General features: G+C 42.2%; 1 long non-coding RNA gene across 1 annotated transcript; it reads left to right on the top strand.

The window, feature by feature from the left end:
* Positions 1-7,115: 7,115 nt before the first annotated feature.
* On the top strand, positions 7,116-10,299 carry LOC101927709 (uncharacterized). The gene is made up of 3 exons (NR_110272.1): positions 7,116-7,501; positions 7,676-7,752; positions 9,596-10,299. It is a non-coding gene; the product is annotated as an uncharacterized LOC101927709 (long non-coding RNA).
* The last annotated feature ends 266 nt before the right edge of the window (positions 10,300-10,565 follow it).

Below are 10,565 nucleotides of genomic sequence, written 5' to 3'. Positions count from 1 at the left end.
AACTTATGCACAGGAACTTAACGATTTTGCATGCAGTTTCAGAGACAGTTGTGGACTCCCTGAAGTCTACCCTCAGAGTCCCCGAAAGCCCATGGATTTCCAGTTCAGTACCTTGGCCTTGGAGAGTAGGGACCGTATCCTCTCTTTCTTAAATACAGTCTTTTATCATTGAGTCCAAGTGTATCAGTTACCTACAGTTATCTATTACTGTGTAACAAGCCACCCAAACACTTCATGACTTAAAACAATATTTTATCATTTCTCACAATTCTATGTGTAGATTGGACTCAGTTGAGTGATGTTTCTATTCCATGTGGTGTTGGCCAGGATTGCTCATACAATTACATTCAATGGGGAGCTCGCCTAGGTGCTCTGCTGGGGCTGAAATATCTGAGATGATCTCACCCACATGTCTGAAAACCTGGTGTTGACTGTCACCTGAAGTAGCTTAGTTCTCCATGTAGAGAGAGGACTATCTCTTTCCATGTGGGTTCTCATGAATCAATAGTTTAGCCCAAGTGGTTGACTTCTAAGTGATGAGCCAGAAGCTTCCAGGTCTTCTAAGGGCTAGACCCAGAACCGGGTGTGTCACCTTCACCACATTTTGCTGGTTAAACCAAGTTGCAGGGTCAGCACAGATTCAAAGAGAGAAGAGATAAACTCTGTGTCTGGATTGGAGGAGTGCTACGGTGCATACTGGGATGGCAGGATTGCTGGTGGCTATCTTGGAAAACATTCTACCACCAGGTTCTTGCAAAATGCAAGATGACTCATCAGTATTAAGGGTAATCCTGTTGTACCACCAAGAGCAACGAGCTCCTGGGGCATCCCCTGTGCATTTACAGCCTTCTTTTCAAGAATCTGTTTTCTAACATATTTCTTCTTGTATGTTACCATGAAGATAATCAGAAGGTCGGTGTACCCCTGTTCCTCACAATTCATATTGTTCTGCCAATTTCCCAAGGACACATCCACATCACCTGCAAACTCTATCACATATTTGGGACTTTATTATTTAGTTCATTCTGTGTTTTTCTCTTGCCAGAAATATATGTCTGTTTTCTCTAGACAAACTGGAAGCTTTCCAAGAAAAGGAGCTACAGCTCCTATTTCAGGAAGCTGGTATGATTTTAAATGGGGACAGCCATTTGTGTAACCTTGCTATAAAGGCAGCAATTATGTGAAAGCACCAGACTTTCATGGGTGCCCCATTTCTCTCTCAGATGAGAAGGTGGGCAAGCTTTGGCTTCCATGCACACCCGAGGTGGGAGGAGCTATCTTGCTATTGGCCAAGCTGTTCCCTGTGACTTCGTAAGAAAGCATTTCTCATAGGCTGGGATAGGGTTTAGTGGAAGTAGGATCTCACTGCAAACATTCCTGGGAAGCACTGACTCCACACTCACTCTACACTGTCAAGCCTATAGTAGCTACCCAAATGCTCTACTCAAGCTGGAGAGCCACTTCTGCTGCTTCCTGATGTTTTTGCTGCTTGCCTAGGATGCTTCCTCCTCTCTCACTTTGTTGTCCCAGCTTGGCTTATTCTTCAAAGTCCACCTCACGTAGTTCACAGTGGTCTATCATCCAATATCCACAGGTTCTCAGGAACATGGTGTCACAGAGCCAGACAGCTGGAAAACATTTCTGAGCTTCTAGTCCAGTAGCTTCAAATCCCCCAAGGACTGGGGTCTAAGGAGGGGCCTCAGTGGCATGGTGATGATGGGTGGCCCTCTAAGCCAAGCTCTGTACTTCCCACTTCCATTTCCACTTCAAGGCTCTCCTGTGATCTGTTTAATCATGACCTTCCATGTAAAATGTTATGTGGTTATTATAAAAAAAGATTTCATGCTTAAAAATTGAAAACCATAGATTTGACCCAACTCTTTGTTTTTATAAATAACAATAACTGGTCTAAAGACTTGGAATGAGTGCCTGGCATTTAGATGAGTCGTAGTGGTAGGCTCAGAACTCAGGTCTCCCTCTCTTGGCCGACTATTGTTAATTATTCTGAGATCATTTGGATGAGGGTAGGACCCATCCAGGCCAAAGAATGAGAGTAAATGTCTCCATACAGCTTTGCTTTGTTTTAAGTAATATTTTATTTGACTGGGATCCTGCCTCTGCTTTGCTGGAATTGCCTGTGCTGCAGAACGATTATTGCAGGATTATTTTGTGCGGCCGGACTGTCTCTAGAGCCTTCTGGGAGCTTGTTTTGCTAGCTCAGCTGTTTCTCGGCTTGCCCTGTGTGGATGATGTCAGATGTGATGTTGTTTCCCTCAAGAGTCCCCCCTCCTGCCGCTCACTGCCTCCAAGTCTCTTTTGGTCCAGCTAGCGATGTCTTCATCTTCCTCCCTTTTCTCCTGTTCTCTCCACTTTTGATATCCTTGAGGCTGATAGTGTTTGTCAGGTCTGTCTTTAACTCTGGGGAAAGAACTGGTGGAGCCATCTGTGGGTTTTGGAGAGCATCCCTGCTTGTAATTATTTTTCCTGGAGCCACCCTTGATGAGGCAAAGGCCCATTGTTGCATTATTAACAGTTGTCACCTGGGCTTTCTCATCATAGAGTGTGTCTTGGTGGTGGGCAGGGAGGAGCAGCAATAGCATGATGGGTCTCAGAAAAACAGTAGCTGTTGATTTCTTCATAGACAATTGGATGAAGAAGTTGGCTTCCAGGATGATGCTCAGTTTGGTTCTTTACAACATTTGGCCACAGAGTTTCCCATGATGGGGGTAAGATTTTTGTAACTTCTACCCATTTCAAATGTCAGGGAGCTGTCAGAAACTGGGCAAAAATAGAGAATGGGCACTTCCTTCACATGGACAGGACGTCCTGCCCCAGAATAATGAGCAAAGGTGAAATCATCATAATCCCTCTAAAGCTGTAGTAATTTGGTAATTAATTACCTTGACAGACAGTGAGAACTACCAAAAGGGTTAAATTAAATTAAATCCAATTCAATGACTGAAAGAGAGTTTGATGTTACAAGAGCACTACACAAGGAGGTGAAAACCCAGGTTTTAGATCAAATTTTGTCATTCATTTATTGGATAATTTTAGGTGGGATTCTTCCTCTCTATGTGTCTATGTTTCCTGACTTACAAAATGTGGCGTTCTGAATAAATTATCTATAAAGAGCCCTTTCCTTCTCAGAGTCTATCGTTTGCATATTTGTCCAGCACCCACCCTGAGCAGGGCAGTGTTTTGGGTCTTGCAAAGGCACATGCTGTCTTATACTGTAGTGCACACTGTCAGTGTTTTTGCAAAAGCCTGCTGTTGCATTCAGTTCAAACATAAATGGTTATGTATTAGGCTACAAATCATTGCCAAAAGGAATTGGCTTTATGTGAATAGAATGTTAGTAATTAGAACATTAATTGTTAAAATGTAATTGCTTGCTTATAAAGTGCTTAAAAGGACCACTTCTGCTAAATAGGTTGAGCAATCCTCTTGCAATTGCCTTTATCCTTTCCAGTCATTTAGCTAGTGCTTTTTCATAGAATGTTCCTATAACTATTTATGATTTATGCTCTGTCTCCTCCAAAAAAGGATTTGAGGCAGCTTAAAGCAGAAAACACATACAAACCATGGCAATTAAAATTTTAAAAAGGAAAAATAAAAGGCAATAGAAAGTGATTATAAAAGAGGAGATGGGCTTTTTAAATACCTGGGATGAGTTAGTTTCTGTACTTGATCCCCAGGTTGACTGCACTTCCTTTGCTCTCAAAACACAAAGGTAGCCAGGAGGATACAGAGTACAGGCATTCCATAAATACAACCCAATACTTACTACGTGCGTAGTCCTATGAAAAACCGGGATTCCTTCCCTTATGGACAAGTGGAAAGATAGCAGACAAATATTTGGGATGCTATGCATTAATAACATTTTCAGTGGTCTCCTGATTATTTTGATTAAGTACTTCTACCAGAAAGTTTGGGAGTGTATCCTTCTAATGTGTATATTTATTTGTATATAAATGATATATTTGAACTACTATACTAAGATGTTATGTACATCATGAAACACACACACACAAAAGAATATGTTTGGGAAAAAAATAAACACAAATAGTTCTAACATTTTCTTCCCACATTCCGATGGTGTGGCTCTATTTAGATGGAATGTTTATAAGCAGAACATTTGTTGTTTAAATGTTAAATAATTGAATGAATAAGTGCTAATAAAGTACTTAAAGAGGATGTATTTTAATTGGGCAAGGCAATTCATCTGCAATTGCATTTTTCCATATACGTTTTTTAGCAAATGTTTTAAAAAAATAAACGATTTTAGATTTATAGCAAAGTTGCAAACATAGTACAAAGAGCTCGTATATAACCTTCCCAGCTTCCCCTAATGCCAACCTCTAGCAAATGTCTTTTTAAATAGACTGTTGTCACCTTGAGCACACCCTGGGATGTCTGCACCCTAACCCTTTTTGGGGACAATTAAGGAGCATTAACATTTTTTTCCTTATAATCTATTTTTTATATAAACATTTAACTAAAGTGTAATATGCATAGATCCAAATGCAAAACTCTCAAGTCCCCCAAGGCCAAGGGTAGATTCTTGGGAACGATGCTCACAGAAATACCCACTAAAGCCTTCAGTGGACTCTGCTCCTTGTGAACCACTGGCGGTGAGAACATACCCCTCAAGGTGAAGCTCTAGCTCTCTTGTTCAAGGTGTAATTCCAGGATCTAGAAAAATGTCCTGGAGTGTAGAAAAGACAGTTAATAAATACTTATTAACTGACTGAATGAGAAAAAAAATTTTCTAAGTGTCATAGAAAGTGGAGAGAGACTATAAATAATTATTTTCCTGTTACATGTTCAAATGAAAAACAGGGCTTTTTTAGCCACAGAAAAGAGTGGAAACCAATGGAAATTTTGCCATGTTTAAAGAATTACAAATTAGCTGGCACCATACTTCCAACTTATTCCAGTGACTGTTTAGAGTTCTTTATAAATGGGTGCCCTGAGCAGGTGCCTGCCTGGCCCATAACTTACCCTGGGTTAGGTCCCATGTGACTAGTGTGTGTTTTTTTCTTTTTTTTCTGTCAAAGCTTAGCTCACATGGGAAGGACTCTTCTGGTCCACATGTTACTGGTGCCTGGGGTTCTGGCAATCTCCCAGATTAGAAATCAAGAGATATCACCAAACATAGCAGCAAAGGTCAGTTTAAGTTTATCCCAGCTTGTGCACAAGGGAGCTAGCATTGAGAGAGGAAAAAGGAGTGGACTGCTCCCCGAGGGTACTCTGTGGGGGGGTTCGTTTTATGGGGTCTCTTAATAGGAAAAAAATTACATCAGGGCATGTGTAGAAGAAAGTTTTCTAACGCTTGTGCAGTGGCTCAACATGCTGCTTCATACATTGGGTGTAGCATTAGCATTGTAAATCTCCAGCCCTGGGTGCGAATTTTAGCGTTAAAATGAGGAAGAGGTAACTTTAGGTTAGAGTTGAAGTCTAACTGGTGTGTGGCGTTCCAGGGAAGTCTCTAGCTGCCTGAAATAGGAGCTTGCATTTAACAGCTTCTTGGGTCTCTCATTACTGATTAGCTGAGAGTTAGATAAAAGCTAGAGCTTGAGTGAGGGACTTTGATCCTTTTCCTCCAGATTATTTTAAAACAGGGAATCAACCAGCCTGCCTGTCTCACACATTGTTCTCTCTCTCTGAACTTTCAGAATTTTCCAACTGTACCAACTATCCCATAATTGCATTGTCTTCTATCACCCCTACAGAATCTTGCTTATGTAGTGGGTAAGGCTGTGTTAACTTGGTTTCCTGTCTGCAATGCTTGTATCACCAACTAGATACATAGGCCTTGAATATAGGCCAGTGTCTTCCCATCTTGATGTCTTGCAGATATTGTCACATGGTGATGTCAAGTTAAGATGCTAGAGTTTCCAACTGTCATGTATCCTGGAAAGGCGCTGCAGTGAAGCATCATTAGCTGGTCAGTCAATAACTTTCAGCAGACATGAATTGAGTGCCTACTGCCTGTGAGACACTGTTCACTGCCCTTGTGTGTGTGTTAGAGGGGGTGGTCAGGGAGGGTCTTTCTGATAGGTGCACCTGTGAGCCGAGACCTGAATAAAATAAGAGAATGGGGTATGAGGATAGCTGCAGAAGAGCAGTCAAGGTAGCAAGAACAGCCAGTGCAAATGCCCTGGGGTTAGAAAGCCAGTGCTGGGCTATTAACGCCTTCCCTTGATGGACCTAAGAGAGCCCTTCTTCTCTTTGCACTTAGGAGTCCTCACCAACCCATTAAATGAGTCCATCAGACAAGATTTCCAAGCTAACATTTTTGTGACTTTATGGAAAAACTATTTTTTTAATGGAGAAAACACATTTTACTCCTGCAGCCGAGACACGCACTCCCCTCTCACATATTTGACGTCATTTTTCCCCCACTCCCTTCACTCACACATACTTCACTTTTCTTTATTTTAGAATCATGCTGAGTAACATTTTGTGAATGTGTTTAACACAACCATAGAGTCAGGGTCATGCATTAACAACTGCTCAAGTGGCATAGGTTAAACAATGCCAGTGGCACTTGCCCCTCTCCCCTCTGCCCTCAACACACACACTCCTGGGAGTCCTGAGATCGCTATACTAGAAGATTCTAATGTGGTCACTTCCCTGGGTGACCCATCTTCATCTTTTTCAAGATTGCCTGGTTATGTGCTAGACAGAGACACCGGGTAAAGTGACCTTTCCACTGAATCCTGGGATCCACCAGGTATTACTAGAAGTTTTTCACCCTGGATTTTAGATCGCTCTGTCTTCAGGTATGATTTTCTCTAATCTGGAATACTCTATTCATTTGAATTACAAAGGGACATGTGGTTTTGGTTTGTTTACTCTTAGGTCATGAAATGATAATTTAGCAGTTAATGGGCAAAGAAAAAGACCTTCTTTTCATGGCCAGGAACTTTTTGGGAGCCTCCGTTTTTAACAGCAGTAACTTGCTCTACACTGACTCTGAGCTGGCCCACATCCCTGAAGGTATGGTCTTAATGGGATTAGGGAAACCATGGCTGACAGGGCTTCCTTGGGATGACTTCTCAGCACAAATGTTCTGCCTCCCTGGATCCAGCCCAGAGACTTGACTTGGGATAGGAAAAGAGTGAAAGGTGAACGAAAGACCATAAACCACTTCTCTATGTTTCCTACAAATGCTGGGGTGTCTATTATTCTGCATAGTGGGGCGCATTAAGCAAATTCTCCTTTTTCAGGATGACTGAAGCTGAATTTCTGTTTACTTTTGTTTATGCATCTCCGTTAAACCAGGATCATATCCTCAACCCCCAAAGAGGAACAGGCCACCTTTGCCATCATGCTCAGCCTGGTCACCAGCCTGAGGCTTTCACAGCCACCCAGATCTTCCCCTCACCTTTCTCCTGGAGTGTAGAGATTCCATATTCTCTTTCATCTGGCTCCTGACATCACTTCTCCGTATTGACTGTGGGGCTCTTTTTTGGCTTGGATTTTTCTCTTTGTTAAGGTGAGTAGTTCTTAACCTTTCAGGAGTCATGGATTCCTGGACCATCTCTCACCAAAACTGGCCATGTAAAATTTTACAATTTCATGGCTTATGAGGATTCCTCAAATCTTTTCTATGGGCTATGGATTCCAGGTTAAGCAGTCCTAAAATTGGTCTTGCTTTCTTTATTTACAGACCCTGTGGGACCACAGAAAGCAGAAAATAGTCATTCAGGGGAGCTTGCTTCCTGACTTCCTCAGCTGATGTTGTTGGTATGAGTTTCTTGTTCCTGCTGTAGCACATTACTGACAAACGTGGTGGTTTAAAACAATACAAGTTTATTGTCTTATAGTTTGGGGGTTAGAAGTCCTAAAATCAAGGGATCAGCAGGGCTGTGTTCCTCCTGGAGTCTCTAAGGGAGAACCAGTTTCCCTGCCTTTGCTGGCTACTGTAGGCTGCCAGCACTCCTTGGCTTGTGGCGCCTTCCTCCACCCTCACAGACAGCAGTGCAGCATCTTCAAACCTCTGTCCCTGAGCTCTGCTTCCTTTGTTACATCTTCTTCTCAGACTCTGACTTTCCTGCCTCTTTCTTTCCCTTAAAAGGGCTCTTTTGATTAAATGGGCTCATCAGGATGATTTCCCATCTCAAGATCCTTAACTGAATCACATCTTCAAAGTTCCTTTTGCCATAAAAGGTCACAGATACACAGGTTTCAGGAATTAGAACATGGACTTCTTTGGGAGGCTGCTATTCTGTCTGCTGCACTATCCTTAAGCCTCACCTCCTAGGAACTCTCTAGTTAGACCACTCAAAATGCACATCAAAGGAGGCTGAATCTCTTCCCTACTCAGGCTCCATTTTCTCCCTAAGGAATTGCTTCTTGCCCTGGTGAATGAGAACCCCCCACTTCCTGCCCTTGGACATTCTCCTTCCCATGGGGGTGAAGGCCTTTGCCTGCCTTATGGGATAACTATAGAAAGACAAATGTTGAGGCCAACATCTGATTAGCACAAACACACTCCTGGCAAATGGTGCATCTTTGCTATCATCAGCTAAGACCTCAGCAACAGGGGAACGAGAAAGGAGTGGTTATTCTGTATTTACTGTGTGTCAGCTCTCTCATTGGCAGAGACCATTTCTGGGGTGCCATCCAGGAAGAGGGGTTGGAGGACAATGCTAATATGACCATACAATTCTTCTTCACATCACTGCAACTTTCTTTTCCCTGCATGACTTTAACACTTCTTTCTACCTGATTCAGTGACCACAGAACCAGAGCTGCAACTGGATGCAAGAGCAGGGATAATCCCTAAGCAGGAAACTGTAACCGTACTTTTGAACTTTTATGTCAGAATTCCCAAGCGCCTGATGGGGTAGACTGTGCCTTCAGCCCATGTGGCAAAATTGGTCTTGATGATGAATGCAGATATATTATTACCTAGCGGTCAAGATAGCCCACTAGTTCTGTATGTGTGTAAACTCACCCTATTAAACAGAAGTGAACTGAGAGAGAAGCACCTGCTAGACCAGTATTGCTATCAGCAGTGTGTATCAGAACAGTGCTAAAACTAACAGCCCTTCCAAAGGTAGAAAAGTTTGGATAAAAACCAATGATAGGCTGGGTGCAGTGGCTCATGCCTGTAATCCCAGCACTTTGAGAGGCTGAAGTGGCAGGATCTCTTGAACTCAGGAGTTTGAGACTAGCCTGGGCAAGTCTCAGAGAGACCCCATCCTATTTTTTTTTTAAACAAAACAAAACCAAACAAAACGAAAAACAATGATAAATGGATAGAAGGAAGAATCGTAGCTGAGGGTAAATGAATGAATAGATGGGTTATGCAACAAGGGAATTCCAATATTACAATGGTGCCTTGATAAAGATGATATTGACTTTTAGCTTCATGCAAATGCCTGAAAGGATGAAGCCATGTGTTGCAAAGACCACTCCTGCTTTTGGGAACCTGACAAGGTTGAATGGAAACCTGCAAACCTGAGTGGGTGGCATTGCTCTGGGAGACATTTTGGTCGTATAATATGATTGTGACCTGGACCAAATTGATAATGACTGAGTGAGATTTTAGTAATATGCCTGTATCTTTTGACTTACTTTTCAGGTTACATCTGCAACCATACTGCGATACGGTGTAGCACTGGCATCATGGGTAAGATTCGTCCCCTTATGTGAATAAGTCTAATGACGGTACTGCTGTTGATGATCAAATATATCAAGAAGCTAAGTGAAAGCCTCCTCAGGATATAATACTGATGGAAAATGACTGGCCTGAGGAAACACTAGATTTCATTAATCGTCATCTAATTGCTATGTTAAATAGTTCTGGCCAGGTACGGTGGCTCACACCTGTAATCTCAGCATTTTGGGAGGCTGATGTGGGAGGATCACTTGAACCCAGGAGTTTGAGAGACCAGCCTGGGCAATATAATGAGATCCTGTCTCTACAAAAACTAAAAGCTGAAAAATAAAATTAGTCAGGTATGGTGGTGTGCACCTGTACTTCCAGCTACTTAGGAGGCTGAGGAGAGAGGATCACTTGAGCTTGAGCTCGGGAGATCAAGGCTACAGTGAGCTGTGATCACACCACTGCACTCCAGCCTGGGCAACAGAGATCCTGTCTCTAAAACGAAAACAAAACAATAGTTCTGCACAAGTGTATCATGAGATATAGATGGTAGTAGAACAAGTCATCATATCAGGACAAAAATATGAAAATGTATGTAATGACTTTCTAGATAGATAAGTTGTTTCTTTTTTAAAATTTAATTTTAATTGAAAATAAAAATTTTATATATTTGTTGTGAACAACATGATGTTTTGAAATATGTATACATTGTGGAATGGCTCAATTGCATTAATTAACATATGTGTTATCTCACATAGTATGACGTTTTTGTCTACTCTTGGCCAGGCGAGGTGGCTCATGCCTATAATCCCAGCAATTTGGGAGGCTGAGGCAGGTGGATCACCTGAGGTCAGGAGTTCAAGACCAGCCTGACCAACATGGTAAAACCCCATCTCTACTAAATACAAAAAATTAGCCAGGCGTGGTGGTGCATGCCTGTAATCCC

The sequence above is a fragment of the Homo sapiens genome, chromosome 2, assembly GCF_000001405.40.
Source record: "Homo sapiens chromosome 2, GRCh38.p14 Primary Assembly".
NCBI lineage: Eukaryota > Metazoa > Chordata > Mammalia > Primates > Hominidae > Homo > Homo sapiens.
This window is presented reverse-complemented; position numbering and strand designations above follow the sequence as displayed.